This window comes from Homo sapiens, chromosome 1, assembly GCF_000001405.40.
Source record: "Homo sapiens chromosome 1, GRCh38.p14 Primary Assembly".
Lineage (NCBI taxonomy): Eukaryota > Metazoa > Chordata > Mammalia > Primates > Hominidae > Homo > Homo sapiens.
In genome coordinates, this window is record NC_000001.11 from 186,103,996 (window position 1) to 186,131,857 (window position 27,862).

A 27,862-nucleotide genomic window follows, 5' to 3' on the forward strand; every position below is an offset into this window, starting at 1 on the left:
ATGCATATATATAAGGTTTCAAAGAGCACTTTTGATCTCCAAAATGAACTAGCCGATATGGAAGTCTGAAGAGACACAATTTTTCAAATAATGATCAGTTTAATAAAATTGACTTGGTTTAGTTTATGTTTAAGAAAACTGATCTGAAATGTGAATATATTAAAAGAGAAGTATGTCTGGGATGTCTTATTGTAGCAATCTTCTATTCTACTAGTAAAGGCAAACCTTATGTTACAATTATTCTCCATCTGAGCCCTAATGCCATCATTTATAAACTGGGGATAAAAGTAATAATCATGCCTCATTCATACACTGAGGGATTTAAAGAAATAATCCAACATGATGTGCTTAGACTGGTGCCACAGGCATGTAGTAAATGCTTTCAAAAAAAGACTTAGGATTGTTCCTGCTGTTGCTGTTGTTACCATAATCATCATTCCTCTGAATGTAGAATAACAAATTATTTGATCATATTTTGTTGCATTTTTCACTGAGAATGGAAGAAAGGGAACTGGAAGAAAAGAGCTAAGAGTTATAAACTCTCTACTATGTCCTGTTGTGTTCATCTCTGTGCTATCTATCCCACCCATTCCCCTCATGGCAACTCTGTGAGGCAATGTGTCTATCCCACAAATCCAAAATCAGGTGCAGAGAGATTAAGTACTTATCTGCCAAGTACTCATTGCTGCTCAGTGATGGAGCTAGGCCTCAATCCTTAGTCTGATTCAGAAGCCTAGCCAGTGCATCTCAGCACAGTGCATTTCTAGCATCTTCGAGTGCATACCTTCCATTCCCCTTTTTTCTCTCCATTTCAAACATTACAGTAACTTAGAGTCAGGTTAAACTAAAACCATGTATTGAATCAAAACTCTTGAATGATATAATTTCAACAAACAAAAAGTAGGCAAAAGAATTTGTGACATTAGGAATAGCATGGAGACAGAAAAGTATGTGGAATAGAATCATGAATATAAAAAAAATGACAAATAAAGCTTGAAAGGGAAGTTAAGGCCATTACTGTAGGTCTTAAAGGCAAGAACAAAAAGTCGAGTTATAAGAAAACAAGATGAAGGTGTCATAGAGTGTTAAATGATGGCCAGATTTACCATGTGTTCTAGCTATTGTGGAGAATCCATAAGACCTAAGATATGTGACATGTGTCAGCCTTCAAGAAGTTTCTAGATGTCTAGGGGAGAAAAATGACTGTATACATAAGATACAATTAGATATGAGTCAATAATAGAAACATTAAAAACAATATGGAAGTGGAAAATTAAATATCATTAAGCCCCCAGACTGATTTTGGTTACTCTGCTCCTTTATGTTTTCATAGCAATTTGTATATACTTCTGTAGTAACTCTTACTGCATTATATTTTGCTTATCTCAACTTTGTTTTTTCGTGTATTTATCTGCAACATCTACTTATGCCTGGTACATTATGGATGTGGATGCTTTGCAAATTGCGAATTGTGTGGTATAGACAAGAGTTTCCTAAAACATCTTTTATCAAACACTAGTTCTGTAATTTATCCCAAGAGGGGAGGGGACCACTCTATGACTAATAGATTTGGAAAACTTTATATACTGTACCCTCCTTTTCTTTGTGAGCCATAATGCATGTCCACCTCTGCAAAATCTTCCTCTAAAGATACATGCTTAACTATAATTTTTCTAACATTCTATTAGTAAAACAAGACTTTAGAAACTAACTACAGGTGATGTCTGTGGGTAGCCAGAAGGGCAGAAGTTGTCAGGAAATATTTTGTGGAAAAGGGAACATTTAAGAATAGTCCTGAATGATGGTTCAAGTTTGGCTGAGTCCAGACAAGTGAGGGGGATGATATCAATTGTGAATGAACAGAGTTGGGAGAGAAGAGTTAGTTTTAGAGATTTTAAAGATATGATGAGAAATTCAGAAATTATTCTTAGGAAATGGCACATCATTTTAAAATTCTTAATTGAATAACGATGTAAGTGTTGTTCTTCTAAAATTATATTTAAGTATTTTTCCAAACATTCTAGTCTCAATGTTTTTGAAAGGAGTTTTTGCAGCCTACCAAAAAGTGTTTCCATAACCTCTAAAGTCAGTTTGAATGTAAGAGTTTTTAAAATGCCAATATTCTGGGAATGTTCAAGTAGTAAAATAAATGAGAACAGGATTTTTCTGTTTTTCCAAAATACATTTTTCGCAGTAGTAAGAGCATCTGTTTTCCAGAGTACCCTCTACATGTACACGATCATGGGTTGTGTCTACACAATCTCAAACATATGAATGAACATTAACTTTCCATGGAAACCATGCTTGGTGATTTTTAAAGTAATGATTTTGGTTTTAGTTAGATAATTATAGATCCTGCTGTCAGTCTGACCCTATTTCTCATATTACATAACATAACTGTTTTGTTTCACCATGTATATAAAATGTAGAGTCAAGATGAGATATTATGTGTTTGATTTTAATAACCAGATATTTTGTTTATCTGTTTACTTATTTAACATCTTATTTTCTTGAGAAAGGCTTCGTTTTAACTTTTCAGTCTGCAATTTAAACCCATGAATATTTGTTTCTTCAATGAACATTGAGGATATAGCCTATCACATATGGTTCTAGGTCCTATATATATCTGCCTTTTTAGATATCATTAAATATACTTAACGTACAAACATTCTTAAATCGATACCAAAATCCTGTTAAAACATAGGTTTGCATATAATGTAGATACCAAACAATGCTTTCTATCAGAGTGCTAATCGTAGTGTTAAACAGTTGGCTTTAATTATCTTGCTTTTGGTGTGGGGTTATTTACATTCATTCTAGTGGATATTTATTTTAATAACAAAAGCTAACATGTTAACATTATGTAATTCATTATTTGGGTTTTGTAGGTGGAGGATACAGGAAGATATACATGTCTGGCATCCAGTCCTGCAGGAGATGATGATAAGGAATATCTAGTGAGAGTGCATGGTAAATTTGACAAAATATCCTACAGTCTATCATACACACACCTAATTAGAAAACCCTGGGACAACACCACAGCACATCACAGGATATGTTTATAAGTTAGGGAATATATATTTTGCAAATCTGAATCTTTTTTTTTTTGAGACGGAGTCTCGCTTTGTCGCCCAGGCTGGAGTGCAGTGGCACTATCTCGGCTCACTGCAAGCTCCGCCTCCTGGGTTCACGCCATTCTCCTGCCTCAGCCTCCTGAGTAGCTGGGACTACAGGTGCCTGCCACCACGCCCGGCTAATTTTTTGTATTTTTGGTTGAGACAGGGTGCAAATCTGATTCTTATATTTGACTAATCAAACGCTGTTGGGGGGCAGTTCATGGATTGTTTTTGAGTTATTTGATTAGTTTCTGCATTAATAATTTGTATTCATTGGTTTAAAATAATAGAATATAAACTATGATGAAGAAAATTTAAAAATCCAGAATCTCATCACACAAAGACTTTTTTGCATATAAATGTTTTGTCACAAAAATATGATGATAGAAAATGCATGTTTATATAGTGTACCTATAGAATTTAACTTGCTTTTATCTCAATGGTTTGGTGAACATTTTCATGTCAAGAAATACATTTTAAAAACATTTTTAGTGACTGTATAGTATCCCATTTTACTCCATATTTTTGGAGGTTTAGGCTATTTCTATATTTTTACCAATATAAACAGCCCTGCTATGGATAACTTTGCATGCACATGTTAGCCCATTCCCTTTATTTTGAGAAATTTCTGTAAGTGCACTTGCTTGGTTACACACACACACACACATACAAACACACTCACTCTTCTAAGGATTTTGAAACTAATTGTCAAATTACTTCCTAGAAGAGTTGGGCCAGTTAGACTCGTCCAATATGCTTTTGACATTGAAATAGGAATTATTCTTTATGGGGAGGAATAATTAAAAAACTAACAGAAGATCTTTGGTTCATTCTCATAGCCTAAATGACTAGGCAGCGCAAACTGTCTGGGATTTAAGTGCCCCCATCATCCCACATACAAATTAATTGACACGTAAATTCTGTAAAAAAAAAAAAAAAAAAAAAAAAGTCACATGAAAAATACAGTCTGTATATTATGATGGGCACTCCCTGATTTAGTAATTTTTAAATCTTATGTTCAGAGAAAATTACTACCAAGTGTATAACCCGGACAACGGCTCCCTTCTTTGTGCCTCCATTTCTTTACTATCAAATGGTGAAAATAATGCAATTATATTACTTCCATCATGCATGTAGTTGTTGGAAGGATTTCTTTACTTAGTGTACATGAAATTGCTAAATAAGGTTAAAAAAAAAACACTTCCCACTGTTTGTAATTATCTAGGCTATAAATTAAATGAGTAATGTTTTAATTTTATGCCTCTTATTATTTCATATAGCAGAACCAACATTTTTTGGATACCTATGATAATACAGATTGCTTTTGTTGTATTTGTTCTCACACCCAGTACCTCCTAATATTGCTGGAACTGATGAGCCCCGGGATATCACTGTGTTACGGAACAGACAAGTGACATTGGAATGCAAGTCAGATGCAGTGCCCCCACCTGTAATTACTTGGCTCAGAAATGGAGAACGGTTACAGGTAAATTTTTTGATAAGCTCCACAAATTCCTTTTTGAGATGAAAAAAGTAAAAAAATCAGCTCTAGGGCCTTTGCTGGGTACACAAAACCAACTAACATCAGGCTACTAATTATTCAACATTGCAGCAGTAAGCACAGGGTTTTTAAATTAGCTTTATTATTTGCTTTATTATTTGCCTTTGCTGGGGTAGTTAATAGTTGGTCATGGGTCAAAGAAAGGTATCTAGATTCATGATGCTCTGGAAATTTGCCAAAGTTTGTATTTCCTAGCGCCCATGCATTAAAGTTTGATTTGAAATACTCAGCTATTTCTTAAAAGAGAAGAAACCATCAAAGTCTCAAAATAACTTCCACGTCTCTAGGGAGAATGCTTCTTTTACTGAATTTCCCTTGTCTAAGCTTGGACCTTACAAGTGACCCCAAAGATACCAGGCATCTGAGACTGGAATCCGTGAAGAACCAGTTACTGGCTGTATAAAGCTTGCCATGCTTAGATGATACCTACCTGCTGTCATACAGCGTCAAAGGCCAGGATCCTCAGCAGCCTTTTAGAGACCACTGAAAGCTTTGACTTTGAATGTTTTGGATTATCCTCATTATTTTTTTCTTCTTCGTTCTTCCTCATCCTCTTATTGTAACCTACACTTTGTTTCTAGTAGTTAATTATAAAAAGGAGATTATGTCCCCTAACACCTAAGACATAAAGACTACCACCACCACCAAACCACACAAACACCAAACATGGAGAGGCCAGGTTCTGAGAGTTACTAACATGCTAAATCATCATGCATATCACTTAACCCTCCAGTACTTCAGTTTCTCTATTTATTGTGTGCCTACTAGAATGCCAGGTGCTATGATTGCTACTGAAAATAGGCTTTACCTCAAAGAGCTCACTCACTATCTGAGAAGACAGGTTAGTCAAAGATTATAGAATGAACGCCACTAGTAAATTGTATATTAGAAGGATGTGTAGAAACAGAGATGAGAAGCAAATAATCCAGACTAAAGGGTAAGGAACAGCCCATGGAAGCCTCTTAGAAAAGATGAGCTCAGTTTTAAAGGATCAGTATATACTGGGTGAGGCCAGAGAAGAAAGTGATTCCAATCACAGGTAATGGCATGTACAAAGCTATTACAGGAAAAGGAAGGCTGCTGGTCTGAGAACTGCAAGTAGCTTGGTATACCTGAAATAGAACCTGGTTAAAATCTTTGATGGTTCCCCATAGATTTCAGGATTCTGGTTAAATCACTCAACTTAGCTCACAAGCCCTTTCATGCTCTGACTTTGCCTCCATAGTCTGATCTCCCATGTGTGCATTTCACTCCAGACCATTAGGTGTAAAGGTAAAAACTGAGTGAATGTTGATGATGGAGGAGTCTAGGTTGATCCCAGGTTGACCAAGTGATGTCAATCCTAGGAAAGGGTAAGTTCACTTGTGATGAAAAATGAAAAAAAGATGAGTTCAGGTTTAGACATTTTGAATTTGAATTACCTGTATTTTCCAAGAAGAGATTGTAGAAATCATTTTAAAATATTGGCCCGTATTTCATCAAAAAAGGCTTTGGTTTCATGGTCCATATTTACTTTAAAAAAAAGCGGCCTTTGATGTAATCATCATGGTATAATCTCTTGTTGAAGTCATAAGTTTGTAGGAGGTTGACTAGAAAGCAGAGTATAAGAGTCCCAGTTAAGTGAAAATAAAGCTTTAGGCAATGGTAACAATTATGAGGTGAGCATAGGAAAAAAAGAAGATGCATGAGACTGAGAAGGAGGACTCAGAAATAGGATTAAAAGTAGGAGACACCGGTGTACTAAAAGCCAAGGAAAAGTGGAGGGGGCGGTGGTTAACAAAGGCCACAGAAGGTACAAATAAAGTTGTATCCATTAGCTTTGGCAATACATATAGGTAATTAAAGACCTGAGGAATGGTTCTTCAAAGAGTGATCAAAGTAGAAGGCAGGTTACAGTTGTTTGGGAAGTTAATCGAAGAAGAGGAAGTAGAAACAAGCATGAACTGTTCTTTAAAGATTTCTGTATGTGTATTTGCTGAAAGAAAGAGATTGGAGACAGAGGAGAGAGAAAGAGCAGTTTATAGGACACGTTATGTTGGATAGGGGAGGTATGAGACCCAGGACACAGTTGAATAGGTTAGCCTTGTCCAGAAGGGTCATCCATTTTCTGCAGAGATGGGGAAACAGAAAAGAAGGTCGTATTCATACCCAAGGTGGGGGAAGGGGAGGACTGCAGGTGTGGGGCTTTAATTTTCTCAGTGGAACAGGAAGTGAGATTATCAGCTAAGAATGAGGTTCTATCAGGAGACAAGTCAAATTTGGAAGAATTATAGGTGGTCTACGGAAGAAAAACCAGAGAAAATTCTTTTTTTTTTTTTTTTTTTTTGAGACGGAGTCTCGCTCTGTCGCCCAGGTTGGCATGCAGTGGCGCGATCTCGGCTCACTGCAAGCTCCGCCTCCTGGGTTCACGCCATTCTCCTGCCTCAGCCTCCCAAGTAGCTGGGACTACAGGCACCCACCACCAGGCCCGGCTACTTTTTTGTATTTTTTAATAGAGACGGGGTTTCACCATGTTAGCCAGGATGGTCTCGATCTCCTGACCTCGTGATCCACCCGCCTCAGCCTCCCAAAGTGCTGGGATTACAGGCGTGAGCCACCGCGCCCGGCCAAAACCAGAGAAAATTCTAATGAGACTTAATAAGTTAGCAGAAAGTACTGATATTCATGGAAGAAAAACATTATAAGAATCACTCTGAGCCAGGTGTGGTGGTTCGTGCTGTAATCCCAGCACTTCGGAAGGCCAAGGCAGGAGGATTGCTTAAGGACAAGGGTTCAAGACCAGCCTGGGCAACAGAGCAAGACCCCACCTGAATTTAAAAAAAAGTTAGCTGGGCATGGTGGCACACATCTGTAGTTGTAGCTACTGAGGAGACTGATGTGGGAGGATTGCTTGAGCCCAGGATTTTGAGATTAGAGTAAACTACGATAGCACCACTACTGCGGCATGGGTGACAGAATAAGAATCTGTCTCTTAAGAAAAAAAGAATCACTCTGAAAGTTTTTATTAGCCTAAAACTCTGCTATACCCATATAAAAGTTAAAAAATAAAATATTTTTTATAGAACTTACTATACATACTTAAGAAATCACTTATTCTCATCAAAGGTAACATAATTTTATCACTAATAGCCCCAATAGAAATGAAAGGAATAGAGAAAATGTGTAAACTTTTAAAATAAATGGACCTGAACTGCATATTTTACTTTGAACAATGTTTTCTTAGAAAGATATATGTATCTGGGACCAAGCTCATACGGTAGAGAAATCTTATTTGGGCTATTCCTGAAATGCTTCATCTTAGGTACAATGAGAGAATATCAATCTTTGATGCTATCTGGAATTTTTTAATAACTATGATCATATATTTTATCCTTAAATTACTTGTTTATATATGTAGCTCTCCAATTAGACTTAATAGCAGAGATTAGGTTTCATTGTGCTCTATTTTCATAATTTTTGTCTATGCCTAGTTACAAAATAAATTCTTAAGAAATATTTGTGGTGGTTTATTTGCTTATTTTTTTTAAATGTTAGAGTACAATGTTTTCCTCTAAGTTAACCAAAGTTAGTCAGCAACCTTTCAGTTGTAAGTGACAGAATTCAAATTCAAACCAACTTAAATGAAAAGGAAAAACAAAAAGGAAATTTATTGGCTACAATAATTGATGAATTTCCAGAGGCTCTAACTCTATAATGAGGCATCTGTCCTTTATCTGAATGAACTCTATTTGCATTGCCTTAGATTCAGGACAGCCTGTTTCCACATGATAAGACTGCCACTAGGCTTAGGTCATCCTCACAACCTGTGATTCTAGGAAAAAGGGCACACCCTTTCCCCGACACTCCCAGCAGAGTCTAGAGGAGGACTCTGGTAGGCCTGATTGAGTCACCTGCCCATTCTTGAATGGATCATTATTGTCAGAGCAATTGGGCATACTGCCTCTGCCTTTGACTTAACATCACTCATTAAAACAGTTCCCAGGGATTTTTGATACTACGAAAATGGTGGAGGAGCAGACAAAGCATGCTGACAGACAGCAGGTCCACAGTTCACTATACTTACTTTTGATGCTGTGAAATAATATTTATTCTCTTTTCCTGACATTTTAACGGCAAATTTCTTTACTTGCTGAATCCAGGCAACACCTCGAGTGCGAATCCTATCTGGAGGGAGATACTTGCAAATCAACAATGCTGACCTAGGTGATACAGCCAATTATACCTGTGTTGCCAGCAACATTGCAGGAAAGACTACAAGAGAATTTATTCTCACTGTAAATGGTAAGAAAAGGTATTCATTGTTCCACAATTTAAAAATCTGACCAAGGGCATTCAAAGAGATGATAGCTTTTTCTTATGAGCATACTAAATGAAGCCTTGTGCTTATCTTACTGCTTTTGAAAAAGGCAACGTGGAGTATTTGTATTATATCTATACTGCAAATTAACTCAATTTCCAAAAAACATAACTAGAGATATTTTACTCTATCTTAGAGAATATGTCCAATTGTTCTTAGCATATCATGATGTTTTCTGTCATTCAGAATCAGAACCATTGAGGAAGTCAATACACTAAATCACTGGATGACAAATGGCCCATCATTTAGTTCACCTTTATTGATGGTGGCTTGAGAGTACATATGTGCCAAACAGAGACTGTCATAGGACTGTAATCTTATTAAGTATAATAGCTGAATGCCAACATCTAGGAAGATAATATAGACTTTTCCTCAAAACAATCTATTGGATATTTAATATATAAAATTTTACAGAATATTGGGTGACCCAAACAACTAATATCTCTAATACTAAAATTAAAATTCAGGCTGTCTATTCCCATATGAACTCAATGATCAATAAAATGCATGCTCTGAGAATTACATGATTAATCACAGATGTGCTTTTTGTTAAAACAGCCCACTTTCTGTTCTTCATTTAAAGTGAAGCTGTTCCAGTGTTAGCATTCTCTGACCATTATTTGGCCAAAGAGAAATAAGAAATATCATCTTTAATTTGCATCAGACTAGAGCTGAGTTTCATTTAAGCCTCTCTCACAGTAAGCCAGATTTCATACACCATATTAGGGATTTAAAATTCCCCTCCCTATCTACCCTTTATTTTTAAACACAAAGTATCTTGAGTAAGACTTTAGGAATTAAACCTCAATTCTACTTATACTAACCTAGATTCTTGTAGACAAAGCTATACATTTGACTCGAAGCTCATCTTATATTACATCTTCAGGGTCTTCATGCAGGCTGTATTATTTAGTCTCACTGAATTTTTTCATGTGTATCTCTTGTTCAGTTCCTCCAAACATAAAGGGGGGCCCCCAGAGCCTTGTAATTCTTTTAAATAAGTCAACTGTATTGGAATGCATCGCTGAAGGTGTGCCAACTCCAAGGATAACATGGAGAAAGGATGGAGCTGTTCTAGCTGGGAATCATGCAAGGTAACCATACTGGAAAATTAAAAAATGCTATAAGACCTGAAATACAAATTCTTAATTTTTTTTCCTAGTGCACTATTTTGGTCTCATTATGTTTAGAATCAGCATTTCATCTTAATACGAGAATCAAAATTTAGTATTTTATTATTTTTCTGAGACAGAGTCTTGCTCTGTTGCCCAGGCTGGAGTGCAGTGGCATGATCTTGGCTCATTGCAACCTCCACCTCCTGGGTTCAATTGATTCTCCTGCCTCAGCCTCCCAAGTAAGCTGAGATTAAAGACGCACGCCAGCACGCCCAGCTAATTTTTTGTATTTTTAGTAGAGATGGGGTTTCACCAGGTTGGCCAGGCTGGTCTCGAACTCCTGACCTCAGGTGATCCGCCCACCTCAGCCTTCCACAGTGCTGGGATTACAGCCTTGAGCCTTCACTCCAGGCCCAAATTTAGTATTTTAAAAGCATAATCCCTAAGGCTTATGTCTACATAATGATTATAATCCATTAAAGATCACAAGCCCATCTGTTATGCACCTTTGCATCGTAGCCTTTTCTTCCACCAAGGGTATCATAAACATGTGTCATCTGAAACAGGAAAAATACTGAATGGATTTCACCAAGTGTTTAACATTTCCCTCAGTCAAAATATGAACAATCAAAAAAGGCTGATTCAGAAGACTTCACTTGTGATTTCTCTTGTAGATATTCCATCTTGGAAAATGGATTCCTTCATATTCAATCAGCACATGTCACTGACACTGGACGGTATTTGTGTATGGCCACCAATGCTGCTGGAACAGATCGCAGGCGAATAGATTTACAGGTCCATGGTAAATATCCGTTTATAGACAACATCCGGTCTCTGTGTCAAATGCTCTTTGATTGCCTAAACTAGTGAGGTCATAAAGATCTTGACATTGAAGGCTAGTTAAGCAATTTACATTATGGTATGAATAGCAAGCCCCAAGTTTTCTCCTTAGTATAGTTAATATCATCACAGCACTATTAAAATTTGCAGAGTCTTGTTTGCTCATAACTATGAGGCAAGTTAATAATGACTAATTTCAGTTCAGCAGAAATATTTCAAATGGCACGCTATTTGCTGACTGTGTTTCCTTCTTATTTGGTGACATTGTCTTAGTTCCTCCATCTATTGCTCCGGGTCCTACCAACATGACTGTAATAGTAAATGTTCAAACTACTCTGGCTTGTGAGGCTACTGGGATACCAAAACCATCAATCAATTGGAGAAAAAATGGGCATCTTCTTAATGTGGATCAAAATCAGAACTCATACAGGTAAGGATAATTTAAAACTCCTACCAACTATTTACAAACAGTTTGTAATGAATCAACATTTTAATTCTATCAGTGGGGTCAGCAAATATATAGACTATAACAAATTAGCTAGCATATAGAGGGTTTTTTTCCTTAATATGGACTTAGTTTTTCAGCCTAAAATATTTTTCTGAATTATAGGTCATCTTTTCCATACATAAACCCTGTGGATGAATGTCAGTGATTATATATAGGATTAGATTTATATCCTGCCTTATTTGTTTAGTACCTTTTGGACTTTTATAAAGGCAAAGGATAAAAACATCATTTTATATAAAAGAAAAACTATTCTGTAAAAATAAATACGATCTTTAGTTGTAGAATAAAAGTCAAATTTTATACCTTAAAATACAATTTAGATATTGGCAGAATGTGTAGGGAGGAAAAACAGCATTTTCTCCATTTTTTTTTTTTGCTTTTTTCCAAGCTTTAATACCATAGCTCATAATATGGCAATATCTATTTTTCAAAGGCTAAACTTTAAATCACTAAGAATTTCTGATGTTATAGGTGAGCATCATTTTTTGTATCTCACCTGAGCTATCAGATTATTACTCTGTCAAACATTTGCCATAGCGCTAAAAATAAATGCTCTCTTATGTCCACTTTAACAAAAATCAATTCCAATACATCAGGAAATATAAAACTAGGAGTGCTGCAGTTGAAATTCTATCATGTCTCTTTTTCACCCTTTTAATCTTTTGGCATTGGGAGGTTCAGTGACTTGAAAGTATACACTGTATGGAAAATGTGCCATGCTTTTGAATTAAAAGGTGTGTCAAATATGTTTTATTAATGTTTTTTATTAAATCATTTCTATCATGCACAGTGTGAAATCAAATAGATATTCTAATTTAGATTTACTTTAAATCATGTATGTGTATTTACTAAACCTCCTAAAATGTGAAGTGTTCTAGATTTTAGTTTTGAATATATATACACACATACACACACTTGTTCAAAACTAAATATATATATATATACTTTTTTTGAAATAGATATTGCCATATTATCTACAAGGTAGCCACACATTTAAGGAGACATGCAAAGTACATAAAGGGGTGAGACACACAGACTTGTCATTAGCCATCTGTCAATGGAAATAAACAAATATCAACCTGCTAGGTTATTGTGAAATTTAAAGATAATTTATGCAAAGCATTTAAGATGGTGCCTGGAGTGTATCTGATGCCCAGTAAACAGTGGCTGTTATCAGTGTTCTCATTGTACTGTATTTCTCCTAGGAGAGCCAGGTTGATCATAATATAAGCATTTAGAGAATGTAAGATTCCCTCTTCAGACAATCCTTCCCACAATTACTTCCTGTAAATATTATATCAAGTTTGAGGCTCTAGAAAGCCACTGCCATACAAACATAAACTCTAATGCATAAAGTTGGCCTCAGGGACATGATGTTAATTTTAACATGAGGGAAGAGTACTGTTTTCATCAATTTACAACATGGTACCATGTTAAACTAGCTGGGAAAATTTATGAAAACCTACATATAGTATCTCATGCTTTGAAATGTGTCTTCTAGGCTCCTTTCTTCAGGTTCACTAGTAATTATTTCCCCTTCTGTGGATGACACTGCAACCTATGAATGTACTGTGACAAACGGTGCTGGAGATGATAAAAGAACTGTGGATCTCACTGTCCAAGGTAGAATTGGCTTGGAACATGGATTGAAACATGATAATGCTATCACTTCGTTATTCTACTACTTTACAAAAGGGATCCCTTTTCTTTTTTTTTTTAAACATTTATTTTAAGTTCAGGGGTACACATGCAGGTTCGTTATATGGGTAAACTAGTGTCATGGGGGTTTGTTGTACAAATTACTTCATCACCCAGGTATTAACCCAGAAATAAAAGGAGGAATCCCTTTTCTACTTACCTAACTTTCACTTTCAGAGCAAAAAGAGGATGTATGATAAGTCTTTGGAAATCTTTAAGGGCTGGAAATGTGTAGTTTTTTCCCTTTTTGTTGTTGTTGTTGTTTTAGTTCCACCTTCCATAGCTGATGAGCCTACAGATTTCCTAGTAACCAAACATGCCCCAGCAGTAATTACCTGCACTGCTTCGGGAGTTCCATTTCCCTCAATTCACTGGACCAAAAATGGTATAAGACTGCTTCCCAGGGGAGATGGCTATAGAATTCTGTCCTCAGGTAAGACCAAGCTCAGTGATTTCACATCTATTGATTGTATTATTTATTGATGCATATTCTTACCTGGCCTTTGTTGCACCAGAATAAAAGAATAAAATATGCATGCATTCTTGAACTTAAAAATCTGGAAAACAGATTGTTAAAACATATTTTTAACATAGAAAGGGGTTCTAGGGAATAGAAGAGAAAAAAATTAGTCTGGAAACAAAATAACAATATCTAAGACTGATCTGAATATAATAAACATGATCACCGGTATTTATGTGTATATTTACCAAACCTAAGGTTTAACAAATTCCCGAGTTACCTGTGAGTGAATCACACTTCTTTCATTGGCCAAATAGAATGTCTCTTCATTTATCGAACATTTAGTGCCTAAGACAGGATATATACTCTACTAAGATTCTGAGACTGTATAACTAAAACAGGGTTCTAGGTTTCAAGGTTTTTAAAATTGAGTATGTAAGACTGAGTGAGTAGCGAGTTCTATGAAGGAAAATTTTTTATAGTGGTAGTAACCCTCATTTATACAATTTATAGTATTGAAGAAAAAAAAATCACCTAAAGTATAGGTGATTCACGTTGGTGTTTCTAAAACTTATCCTACACTGGGGAAACACAATAGAGATAAAGTAGCAACTAATATCCTGGGACTTTAAGAGTATGTGCATATTATTCTAAGAGAATTTGTGTATTTCCTCAATAGAAGGGTAATAGTGGAAAATGTGTTCCCAGGATGCAACTTGGCTTTCAAGACAAATTATTTTGACTATGGATTGGTAGCAATTGAAATCATAAAAGATTTTAAAATAAAGTATTAGGCTAAGAAAACAATTTAGAACTTTCAAAATATTAAACCTAGCAACTTCATTCCTAGGTATTTACCCAAAAGAAATGAAAACATTTGTCTACACAAAGGCTTATATGCAAATCTTCATACAGCATCATTCACAATAGCCAAAAAGTGGAAACAATTCAAATGTCCATCAGCTGATAAATGGATAAATAAAATGTGGTATATCCATGCAATGGAATTCTGTTTGGCAATAAAAAGGAACAAAATATTGACAAATGCTACAGCAGATGAACCTCAAAAACATTATGCTCATAGTGAAAGAAGTCAGACACCAAGGACCACATACTGGATGATTCAGTTTATATGAAGTGTTCAGAAAAGGCAAATCTGTAGAATCAGAAAGCAGATTAGTGGTGGGCTAAGGCCAGGGTTGTGAGTGGGGAATGACTGTAAATGAGCACCAGGGTTCTTTTGGGGGTGATGGAAATATTCTAAAATTAGATTGTGGTGATGTTTGCATAACTCTAAGTATACTAAAAATCATTGAATTGCGCATTTAAATGAGTGACCCTTATGATATGTAAATTATGCCTCAATAAAGCTGTTAGTAATAATTTAAGTACTGTGCTAGGCACTTCAGGGGATACAAGTATGAATATAAGCCAAGCACCACCATGCTATTTGCAGAAAACACACAAAAGAGAGTCAAATTTTATTGAACTAAAAAAACTGAGATGCAGTATATATTAAAACATTTTTTTTCATTTTTAGGAGCAATTGAAATACTTGCCACCCAATTAAACCATGCTGGAAGATACACTTGTGTCGCTAGGAATGCGGCTGGCTCTGCACATCGACACGTGACCCTTCATGTTCATGGTATGGAAGGCTATTTACTCATTCAAAGTTCGCTGGGTTTGGGGAGGTTTTTTAGTCATATTTATTCTGAAAGGTGGTAGGTACTGTCGAGAGCTATGAACCATAGTAATATCTTGGGGATATGAAAGCCTGGTAGATACTTTTAATAGGCTAAAAAAGGCACACAAATGGCAAACCACTCAAAGTAACTCCAAAATAATTTTTCTTCTTGGCTTTTTATGATCTGTTCCTGACTCTAGTCTTCCAGTGGGGTTCTTCTAATGGAAACTGGCTACTGTAGCAAGACTCAAAGAATGCAGTGTGGCCAACATTCACTTTTCTCTTGGGCAATCAAATCACTAATATTTTAGAATTATGAATTTGGGTATTTTTAAGCTCATTACTACAATAGACATGGTTTATTAACTAGTGCTATTACTTCTTTTTGTTGATTGGTTTTTTTATAGAGCCTCCAGTCATTCAGCCCCAACCAAGTGAACTACACGTCATTCTGAACAATCCTATTTTATTACCATGTGAAGCAACAGGGACACCCAGTCCTTTCATTACTTGGCAAAAAGAAGGCATCAATGTTAACACTTCAGGTACCTACCACTGTTTTTCTATCAAGAAAATCATAGCACATCAGTGTTTTATAATTCGAATCAGCATGATTGTTTTTAATGAACAGGCTTTTTTTTTTCCCCACTCTGCTTTTGTAACTATGTTGTAGGCAGAAACCATGCAGTTCTTCCTAGTGGCGGCTTACAGATCTCCAGAGCTGTCCGAGAGGATGCTGGCACTTACATGTGTGTGGCCCAGAACCCGGCTGGTACAGCCTTGGGCAAAATCAAGTTAAATGTCCAAGGTACCTAAATAATTCATCTCTGTTTTCAATTCAAAGATGTTTGTAACAATGTCTACCAAATATTTATATATCTAAAATGATTATGCTGCTGTTCCCCCATAGTTCTCGACATTCTTAGTTTGCATTATCCTATTGGTTTTTCTATCACTTTTATGAAGAAAGTTTAATGTATTTTATTTTGTTGGCCATTGTTTGTATAAGAAAACACAGGCATCTAATCCTATTTTGAACTTCTATGAACCTCTGTTTGATACTCCATTTCATTATAGCATATGTATGATGTGATTGTTAAAACCATTCTCTCTACAATACTACCTTGGATACATTACAAAACACTGGATTATAACGTTCCACTTAAAAAATCATAATCGCAGTTAAACCAACTTGATGGAAAAAATTATTCTAAAGAGAAAGCAGGGTATTTTTGTGTTTTCAAACTTAACTGATATTTTCTTGATAGAATTTTTATATCTTGCATGCACTGCTTTTGCAAATTAGAGGTGACCCAGAAATAGATTTCAAGCTACTAAATTTGAATTAGCTTAAATGTCTTATACTGTAATTTTCCTATGGTAGATTCATGAATATAATAAACCTCACTTTCCTGCATATTATAAATCTAATTGGTTTGTATTTTTCAACATTTATTCAACATTAATAACTGGAAATACATTGAACATTACAGACATGATCCTTCTCTTATGGTGTTTATACATTGATGGAGAAGGAAAATCTTAAACTACCAGATAGATGAAATAATGATAAATTCTGATGTATGCTATATAGAGGAAAAGCAAAAGACTGAGACAGAGAAGAATAATGGGAATATGTGGGGACCACTTTAGAAAATGGTTAGGATAGGTTTCTCTGAGGAAGTAATATTTAAGTGACCCCTGAATGATGAGCTAGGATAAGCCATGGGCAGGTTGGTGGAGTGTCCAAAGGAGAGAGGACAGCATGTACAGTGACCCCAAGTCAAGAAAGAGTGAGAAAAGAAAGTATGGCAGTGTGGCTAGATGGTGGTGAGCAAGCCCAAGGCAAGCAAAACACAAGGGAGATCAGAAAAGTAGGCAGGGCCCATGCATGGATGGCATGATGTACCCTAAGATATGTAGATTTTATTCTCTGTGCAAATAAATCTTTTGAAGGGCTTATCCAGGACTCTCATTTGGTTTTAGGAAGACCCCTCCTGCAGCTCTAGGTAATGGTTTAGAGAAAAGGGCAGGACTGGAGTTGTAGTGTGTTATTGTCCAAGAGTGGAGATGGGAGCACAAATTGCAGAAGTGAATGAGAAAACTGATGGATTTATGTTGTTTATGGAGGTGTAATTGTTAGGATTTCTGATGAATTGGTAGGTTAGGAATAGAAAATTAGTGAAGCTTCCTGGGCTTCAGACTTAAGCTAGTGAGTAGATGATAGTGCCATGTTGGAACGCAAGGGGAAGAACTGGGTTGGGAAGAAGGAAACCATGATTTCTGTTTAATTTTATTAAATATGGGAAACTATTAGAAATCCTAGTGGAGATGTCAAGTAGAGAGTTGAATATATATGAATTTGGAGCTCATGGGAGAAGTATAGTCAAAGATAAAAATTTGGAAATAATCAGCGTTAAACCCACAAGACTGGATAAGATCACTAAGGAAAGAGAATGTGTACAGAAAAGATTGGCAAGGACAAAGTCCTGGGGCTGTGCATTGTTTCAAGGTCTGAGAAAGGAAAATAATACAATGGAGAGGGCAGGGATATCGTTGGAAAACTTAATGAAGGCTAGGGAAGGTTAGTGTTTCAAGAAGAGAGTGAACGGCTTTGTTAAATGCAGTTGAGTCAAGTAGGATAAGGACCCAAAAGTATTCATTGGTTTCAGCAACACAGAGGTCGTAGAAAAGAACATTTTTAGATTTGAGGAGTTGTTTCTTCATGAAATGATTGAAATTATTGACATGAGAGAAATTAAGGGACAAAGAAACACATTAAACAACCAAAAGCATTTCAACATTCCAAAAGCAATCGGAGATAATTGCTTCCTCAGAGGCATGAAAAATTCTGAATAGACTGTCTTCTTGCAGATACAAATGTAATGGTAAGCACAAATTCAACCAAATAATTTTGTTGCTATAAATAATCTTAATACGATTATCAGTTATTTCATATGCCTTTTTATAGTGATGCGTTACAACTGAATAGAATATCCAGGCTAATACCTAAGTGGTGATCAGCCTATTGTAAACACTTGGAAAGGAAATCCTTATTATAAGCTCTTTTATAGGTTTCCAAATAAATGGGAAGAGTTTTACCTATATAATTATTTTCCATGATCTATTTATGTATTCATTAGTTCAAATAATCCTTTATTAAATGTAGCCACTGTATATGTGTATTCTAAGCTCTATGGAAATACGTAAGTAAAAGTATCCAAGCAGTTGAATATTTTCCAAAACCTGGCGTTCATTTTGGAAGTTTAAATACCTAAAGTGAATCACATAATTTATGTAAGTTAAAGAAAATATTTTTGTTGATACAGCTTAAATTTTCTAGACATGCATGCCCTCATGAATATATGTTTATCTCCTCATTTAAAATCGACTATCACTTAACATTTATGGGTTAGCTAGGGACTAGTTTTCTGAAGTGCGCCCAGATAATTTTTTGTTCCCATGAAAAAATGTAGTGCTCCTTTTCTAATGATATGGTGAAGTCAGGATTTTGTTTCTTATCAATGTTTGCTAGAGCAGTACTGTAGTATGTAATTTGCGCACTCATGCTTCTAAGATAAAGTTTGAACTTTATATTTTTTGTATATTTTAGTTCCTCCAGTCATTAGCCCTCATCTAAAGGAATATGTTATTGCTGTGGACAAGCCCATCACGTTATCCTGTGAAGCAGATGGCCTCCCTCCGCCTGACATTACATGGCATAAAGATGGGCGTGCAATTGTGGAATCTATCCGCCAGCGCGTCCTCAGCTCTGGCTCTCTGCAAATAGCATTTGTCCAGCCTGGTGATGCTGGCCATTACACGTGCATGGCAGCCAATGTAGCAGGATCAAGCAGCACAAGCACCAAGCTCACCGTCCATGGTAGGTTGTTTAACATGAATTATTTTAGTCTGCTGCACTACCATGGCAAAGAGAAAAGGCTACCAAGAGCAAATCTGATGGAAGTCAAAAACCCTTAAACTCAGTAATCCAAAGTGTGTGTGGGGGTGTGGTGTGTAGGTGCACTTCAAATCTGTTTTCTGTAGGCTGTGTTTCTGTGTGTTTGTGCACATAGGTGTGTGAGAGAGAAAGACAGATTTTATTAATATTGCCAGGATTTTTAATGTGTTGCTAGTACCCTCACATATTGTGATTAGTTGGCTTATGAAGAGTCCGTTTGTGTTTTGTGACTTTTCTGCTTTACTTCTCAAGCTTCAAGTCATCTTGGTTCAAATGAATCATCATATGACCTACATTGTATGATTTGACTCTAATGAGAATTAGGAGATCTATTTGATTCATTATATTAAAGTGGCAAAATATTACATGTATATTTTTATAACAGAAAAATATCTTTGTATTAAGACAACAAAATATTGAAAAATCAGCATTGAAATATTTTTAGTTTTTATTATATATTTTGACTAAGGATAGAATCCACGTTAATATCAGTGGTGGGAAACAATACCAGATTAAACTGCTTCCAGCCTCTATTTTCAGAGGTAATTATTATAATGAGGAGTTTCTGCCTTTTCATTTTTCAGAAATTTGTGAAAGCTGTTTTATTTTTCAAGTGTATTTTAATTTTCTGTAACTTCATAGTAACAGAGACAATTTTGAGTGGAAACATTTTTGGTTGAATAATTTAGCCAAAATTAAAAATCATCATTTATGAGTTTTCCAAATAACTCCCCTGCTTTCAGTTAATATAATTAAACTAATCAATATACACTATCCATTTGCCTTCAAATAAATAATACTCCTTCTTCTCAAATGTCTATAGAAAATTTACCAAAATTGACCATATACTAAACAAAGAAATTGTTAATAAGTTTCAAAAAGATAGACCATAATTTCTACCCACCATGCAACAAAGCTAGAAATTTGTAATGAACTTTGAAAACCCCAAACCCAGACAACTTTAAACACTCTTCTAGCCAAAAAGTAGGTCAAAGAGTATTTTTCTGTTTTCACATTATTTAGAAAATAAAGACATGACATATCAAAATGTACAGTGTGTGCTCAAAGCTAAAATCAATATAAAGTCATAGCAATAATTCTTTCATTTTGAAAAAGAAAGAACTGAATTAAATATACTAATGCTGCAAGTTTGTATCCCGTAACAAAAGACAAATAGCAACCCAAGGAAATCAGGATAAAGAAGATAATGAAAATAGAGCAAGAATTAATTAAAAATGAGTATTTACGATGTACCATTGAGCAAAATCAATTTTTGTGTTTTCCAAGTTATCTATGTTTGTATCTATAATTATTTATATAATGTTTGTATATTTAATCATATAATCATAAAGGACAAAAAATTAACTATTTTAATCGAAAACAGTTAATTTAACTGAAAGTAGCTAATTAAAGTTTATATAGCAATTTTATTTTTGCTAAGGCCAACTGTTCTCTTTTCACTCGTTAAAATGTCATTAAGATGGGTCTGCTTCTGATTTGTTTGAATAATTCCAAATTCATTGTTTTGGGAAGGGAGTGTATTTTTACTTTTGAACCGAGAATTCTTAATACTTTTTGTCTTTTCTTTAGAAGTAACTATCTTAGTTCTAAGTCCAATCAAGTATTTTTTATTACACTAAAATATTCAGTTCATCTCTATATTGCCCAAATTCTAGTTAAAAAAATTTGAGTCACAGGAAGTATTTGGTACTATACTGTGCAGTTATAAAGTCACTCTGAAAATTTTCTCTGACAGTATGAAAACTGAATTAAGTGTCTTGATCTGGTTTACTTGTATTCATTGTAACATGTAAAATACTGCAATAAGTATTTTTTTTTCTACAGCACTTTGTGATATTCAGTATTGGGTGAGTGTTTTATAGTGTTTTATGGTGACTATTATTAGTTCATCCTCATAATATACAGCAGTTACGCAACCATAGAAGCATTTTTTCGTTTTGTTGTTGGTTTGTTTTACTTCACTGCAGTAAACAGAAGTAACTTAAAGACGGAAAAGTCAGGGAAGCCAAATAAAATCTAAAGATCTTCTACCCAGTTCTGTCATTTGCTCAGAAACCAAACGTAAATATATTCAGTAAGTTCAATTACATTAGGATTCTTGCTAGCACCAAAAATACTGATTTCTTTCATAGCAGGAAGCAAATCAATATCTTAATAGATTTTCATTTTTAGTATTTCTAGCAAAATTACCCTGAAAAGAGTTTTTTATGTGTTAATTTTTATTGTGAATAAAGACATTATTGAACTCAGCTTCCTGGATGACTCTTTTTTAAACTCTTCATAGTACCACCCAGGATCAGAAGTACAGAAGGACACTACACGGTCAATGAGAATTCACAAGCCATTCTTCCATGCGTAGCTGATGGAATCCCCACACCAGCAATTAACTGGAAAAAAGACAATGTTCTTTTAGCTAACTTGTTAGGAAAATACACTGCTGAACCATATGGAGAACTCATTTTAGAAAATGTTGTGGTAAGTTTAATGGACGTGAACAGATACATTAAGCCAGATTGTAAATTTGCCATCATACTTTTAGTAATTTAGCATGGAAGTATATTCTTTAATAATTAAAAAAAATATTCTTGTAAAATCAGGTCACAAAATTAATTTTACACGTATTTCATGTCCCTTGAATGAGAATAATATTTAACAGACGATAGGAACTCATAAATGCCCTCCTTCGAAAATTATTTTGTGTTTGTGGAAATATGTGTTTATCAGGAAAAATTTTAAGTGCCAGTGCTATATTCTGTGCTCTTAACCTTATTTGGCAATGATAAGTATCTAGAGTAAATAATTGTAATTTTTATGCTATATTTTCAATTCTTTAGTGCTTCAAGGGGAAAAATGTTAAACTTTTTTAAAAAAAGGAAAAAAGTCTATGTGTCTCAATGCAATCAGAAGCAGTCATTAATATTCAACATAAATATTCATATATATTCATATTTGAATATTCCTATTCAAATATTCAACAAATATTTATTGAACACCTTCTCTGCAACTAGCACTGGTTTAGGCACTGGGAATACATCAGGGAACAAAAGAAACAAAGATCTTTGCCCTCATGGAGTTTATATCTAGAGGAAGGAGACAATAAAAATGAAAAATAGTAATGTCAGAAGAAAATAAGTCAGAAGAAAAAAGTGGCATGAAAAATAAGAGGGGAAAAGAGTGTCAGGAGTTGGAGCAGTGAAGGTTACAGTTGTAAATAGGGTAGTCAGAGTAAATTCTCTTTGGGAAGGTGACATTTGAGCAAAACTTGAAGGAAGTGAATTAGCCAAGCAAATATTGGAGGAGCAGACCGGGGGAAAAACAAAAATAGGTAGAGCAAAGAACTTGAGGTGGAAACATGTCCAGTGTATTTGAAAAGCAGGAAGCCAGTGAAAGCAAAGCAAAGAATGAAAGGAGAAAGACGTCAGTGATAAATGGAGGCCAAATCATGTCGGGTCTTACAGGTCATTGTAACAATTTTACCTTTTACTCTAAGTCAGAATCCATTGCAGGTTTTTGAGCAGGTGAGCAATCTTATATGCCTTAAATTTTAAAGGGTTACGTTGGCTGTTGTGATGAGAATCAAAGGTAGGGAGACAAGGACAGGAGCAGTGAGACCTGTTGGGAAGACTCTCTGGAGGCAGATGAGAAATGATAGAACTCAAAGCAGGATGTTAGCAGAGAAGAGACAAGAAGTAAGACTCTGCATATACTTTGAAGCTAGCATTTTCTGGTAGATTGCAAGTAGGGTGTGAGGAAAAAAAATAAGAATGACTCAAATGTTTGAGACTGAAGGCATGAACAATTGGAAGGGTGAAATAGCCATCAGCCGAGACGGTGAAGGCTACAGGTGGTACAGGAAGGGGCCATTGGAAGGAATCGGGAGGTCAGTTTTGGGGCATGAATGTGAGACATATCTTAGGCATCAGAGCAAAGAGTTAGAATAAGAAGTTCAATAGACTTTGAGTTTGTAAGAAAGTATCAGTATTTGGGTTGGAGATACTGATAGGCATCAGCATATAGTTGATATTTAAAGCTATAGCACTGTATGAGATCACCAAAAAAATTGAGTACAGATATAGAAGAAAAGAGGAGCAGAGGTTGAGCCTTCTCGCTTGCCACCATTAAAATGTTAATGTTGAGGAGAAGCCCCAAAAAAGGTTGGAGAAGCAGCAGCCAGTGAGATAGGAGGGGAAAATAGGCGAGCATAGTGTCCTGGAAACCATGTAAAGGTGGTTTCGCATAGAAAGGACTCATAATTGTGTCAGATTCTACAAATGCATCAAGAAAGATGAGTGATGAGAGCTGGCCGTTGAATTTAGCAAGTGAGGCCTCAGAATTCTAGGTAATAGTGCCCTTTCTCTTACCATTTCCTCTGATAGTTTTGTTGATCTTTGGTACCGCCTTAGAGAGCCAATTATGCTGTCAAGATGCTGTCAGCTTTTGGGATTATTTGCTCTTTATTTGTGCAATGCAGAGCAGCAATACACTTGATATCTAGCAAACCACAGAAACTACAGTTTTCTGAAATCTTACCACTGTAAAATGATTATTGTTCTGAAAGGTATGGGCTTATGTTTAAACTTCTATACATTTTAAATTATGTTATGCAAAAGCTAACCTGATGGTTAAGACTAAAAGATGGAAATTTAAATTGTCTTTGGATAAGAGAGTTTCTTGAGGGCCTAGCTATGCAATTTGATGTATTTTATGTACTATGATGGATGATTATGAAATTTTAAATGTTACTTTTTTTAATTTTAGCTGGAGGATTCTGGCTTCTATACCTGTGTTGCTAACAATGCTGCAGGTGAAGATACACACACTGTCAGCCTGACTGTGCATGTTCTCCCCACTTTTACTGAACTTCCTGGAGACGTGTCATTAAATAAAGGAGAACAGCTACGATTAAGCTGTAAAGCTACTGGTATTCCATTGCCCAAATTAACATGGACCTTCAATAACAATATTATTCCAGGTTGGTCATTTAATTCTCAAGAAGTGAATAAATACACCTATGTAGAACTCTAGACGAAGCTCTGTTTCCTCCAGCTGTGAAAATTGAAAAGTAACAAGAATTGATTGCTTTAAATGCTGTAAAATGTGTGCCTCTGCTTGGATTTTACCCTCTACCCAATATATATGTTTTGTTCCTTCTTTTGGAAGCATAAGTTGATCACAGGGCCATATATTGCAGGTTATAAGTAGCTTTTTTAACCTAAATATAATTCCCCTTACCCCATGAGAAGGCAGTATGTTTATATAGGCGCCTAAACTTATCCCAGCTGGACCCCCTTCATCACTGATCAGTAGATTAAGATGGCCGCTGTTGGAGTCCTAAAGATTCACTTAATTTTACAGAGAAGAATTCTACTTCTCACTGTTTGCCTCAACCTCTATTATAGTGTAGATTAATTTATGTAGAAAATTTCTAGTCACTGTGTATACTACAAGTTAAGGTCGTGTCTGGAACCCAGGAGCACCCATCCCTGGGTGAACAAATATCTACCTATTTGTTAGACTTTGTCATCAGCATAAAGACTGTCAATACTGAGAAATTGTTCTATCCCAAAATTGAGTTCTGAAGTATTACACTGTTAGCATTTACTAAGTGTCTTGCTAGAAAAGTAGTAATAAGCTTGAGAGTTTTTTTCTATTATAAAGAGTTATGTTAATGACATTAGTTAATGTTAATTCCAGTTAATGGCTGGAATTTATCAACTGCATTACCTTAATAACAATACATCTCACTAAGAAAAAACAGACACTAAAAAATCTAATCTATATTGTTTTCTGAAAGTGCAGTACTAATGTTTTCTGAAAGTGCAGTAATGTAAATGTACTTTTAAAGCTTAATTTTCCACTTAATATTCAGCAGTAAAAGATTTAAAAAAAAAAAACTTAAATGAGGAGAGCATGCAAGGTAAACATACGTATTTAGATATGGACTGGTTTAGTCAGAATTTTATTTAGTCTTAGTTGTTTTAGGATTAGCATGTTTACCTTATATTTTCTTCTAAATGTTATATGTTATTTATAATATAAATTTTATAAATATTACTATCATAAATTTTTAAATAAAATATATGCCTTTGTAAATATTTATATAATCACCATTTATGATTTACAGAGAAGTTTAAATTATTACAAATTTGACTATGTTGTTGTTATTACCTAAGTAGCATACGTTTTCATAATTTTCCCCTTTGACCTGCCAAGTCAGTTGAATTATAAGCTGAAAAGGTTTTCATGTGTTTGATGTAAATTGTTTGGGAGGAAAAGTGGTAATGAGATAAATGAAATGGAAAATGTAATATTTCTGAATGAAAGATTTTTGAAACTCAGACTACGAGCCAGCTTTAAGCAACGCATTTAGATGAAAGGTTTACTTTAAACCTAAAATAATTTTTAAAAGATGTTTGTTTTCATCCTCTTTTCCTGTTCCTTCTGCTGTTTTTGTTCTTCAAACAAGTGTCTATAGACATAGTAAATAGCTCAGATGAAGAAATGTGGAAAAGGCTCTCTTCTCCAATGTCATCTCTTTGGTTCAATTGCTGACCAACTCATAAATCTAATGTGCAAAATACTGAGCTGTCGTGAAATTTTTCCTAGGTTACTGAGAGGCACTTGTGTTGTTTCTTGTTTCCCTCAGCCCACTTTGACAGTGTGAATGGACACAGTGAACTTGTTATTGAAAGAGTGTCAAAAGAGGATTCAGGTACTTATGTGTGCACCGCAGAGAACAGCGTTGGCTTTGTGAAGGCAATTGGATTTGTTTATGTGAAAGGTAGGGAAAAGCGCTCCATTTTTAATTTATAATGCATTCATAATGAATAGTTCAAGTTTTGCTTCTTTATTTTATGGTAATAAAATATAACTTCAAGTTTTTAATCCACTCAGTCCTATTTCACAGATGTACAAATTCATGAGAAAAAAATTATGAACATTCAACTCAAAAGTAGATAAGAAGTAAAGAGATCATTTCACACAAAGTGGAATCATCCCCTTAGAATATTGAAATTGACAAAATTATCTGGTGATTTAGCATGAAGAGTTGATTCTGGAAATTTCATGAGTCTTTAAGGTGGCTTTACTCCCCTCTTTACTAAATTATTTTTCCAAATAGGTCAAAGATCACAAAGAAATTATCAGCACTTACTTTTACTTTGTACCTGTCTTATGTTGTTTTCCAGAACCTCCAGTCTTCAAAGGTGATTATCCTTCTAACTGGATTGAACCACTTGGTGGGAATGCAATCCTGAATTGTGAGGTGAAAGGAGACCCCACCCCAACCATCCAGTGGAACAGAAAGGGAGTGGATATTGAAATTAGCCACAGAATCCGGCAACTGGGCAATGGCTCCCTGGCCATCTATGGCACTGTTGTAAGTCACGCCAGAATGATTGATGCACCTTTAAACCCCCACAGCCAATACCCCTCTGTGAGTGCCATAGATAAGAAACATTTCTCTTACATTCCTATTTAAATCATAAAATCTGAATCAAATAACTCCTTTTAAAAAACTGAAACAAGGATTGAAATAGATATTTTAGCCCTTTCAAATAAGTGCAGTGAGATAATGTGGCTGCCTTGTTCCTTATCATTGACTTACTAATTAACATTTGGAGATAACTTCCTCAGATCTGTTTTAGGACAAGGAAATTGAAGAATTACAAACACAGTTACATATAAATTATAGAGTAGATTTCATAGTAAGCTGATAACTATATTAGGCTTTTCCAAAGTTCAGTAATTCAGAAAATAAGTGGTGCTTTGGTTTATTATTCTAGTTTTGGGGTCAAATTACCCCAAAGTGAAATATTTTATCCAAAAATGTCTCAACTAGAATACACATTAATTTGTTAAATCACATTTGGTGAGACCACTTATGTGCTGTCATTGTTTAAGTAATTGAAATAATTAAAATATACTATCTAATTACCCAATCCAGTGGACCAGTCTTAGTCTTTTAGTCTCATTGATTTTACTTCAACATTAGATGTCATTTGTTGATTGTTCCTTCTGTTATGAAATTATTTCTACTTTATGTGCCATAATACTAATATGGCTCAGCCTTCTTCATTACCACTTTTCCCTTTTCCTCTATTACTATTTCTGAAGTCCTTGGTACTTCTAATACCAATGTTAATACTAATTTTTTTCATCATGCAATTTAAAATTCCTAAAACTGTAGTATCTCCAATGCTGAAACTCTTCCATTTCCAGCTGTTGACTAGGAACTTCCATTTGGATAATACACTGAAACCTCAAATTAAACATCTAAACCAACATTTATTTTTCCTTCTCCCAATCTACTACCTGCAAATCAGTTCCCTTTTATTGACTTACTGTTTGTTAAGGAGACCTGAATTCTTCCATTCACAAGACCTTCAGCGAAATCTGTGCCTCTAGTCACCAAATTGAAATTTATTTAGTGCAGTCCTACATAAATTTACACACACAGACACATACATATATGTATATAATGTGACCTACAATCTGTGATTTATTATTATAAGTAAATTAGTTTTTCACTTTCTCTCC

At 35.1% G+C, this 27,862-nt stretch overlaps 1 protein-coding gene across 4 annotated transcripts in view; it reads left to right on the forward strand.

Moving 5' to 3' along the window:
* Positions 1-27,862, forward strand: part of HMCN1 (hemicentin 1) — a 456,559-nt gene that overhangs the window by 369,605 nt on the left and 59,092 nt on the right. For all 4 annotated transcript variants that reach the window (NM_031935.3, XM_011510038.4, XM_017002437.2 and 1 more), the window contains 16 exons: positions 2,889-2,970; positions 4,466-4,602; positions 8,817-8,958; positions 9,984-10,128; positions 10,824-10,951; positions 11,263-11,419; positions 12,999-13,120; positions 13,464-13,628; positions 15,196-15,303; positions 15,750-15,887; positions 16,016-16,150; positions 18,956-19,225; positions 21,609-21,799; positions 24,083-24,296; positions 25,971-26,105; positions 26,512-26,702. In NM_031935.3, coding sequence (NP_114141.2) covers positions 2,889-2,970; positions 4,466-4,602; positions 8,817-8,958; positions 9,984-10,128; positions 10,824-10,951; positions 11,263-11,419; positions 12,999-13,120; positions 13,464-13,628; positions 15,196-15,303; positions 15,750-15,887; positions 16,016-16,150; positions 18,956-19,225; positions 21,609-21,799; positions 24,083-24,296; positions 25,971-26,105; positions 26,512-26,702 — 2,460 coding nt within the window. The remainder of the gene's footprint in view (positions 1-2,888; positions 2,971-4,465; positions 4,603-8,816; positions 8,959-9,983; positions 10,129-10,823; positions 10,952-11,262; positions 11,420-12,998; positions 13,121-13,463; positions 13,629-15,195; positions 15,304-15,749; positions 15,888-16,015; positions 16,151-18,955; positions 19,226-21,608; positions 21,800-24,082; positions 24,297-25,970; positions 26,106-26,511; positions 26,703-27,862) is intronic.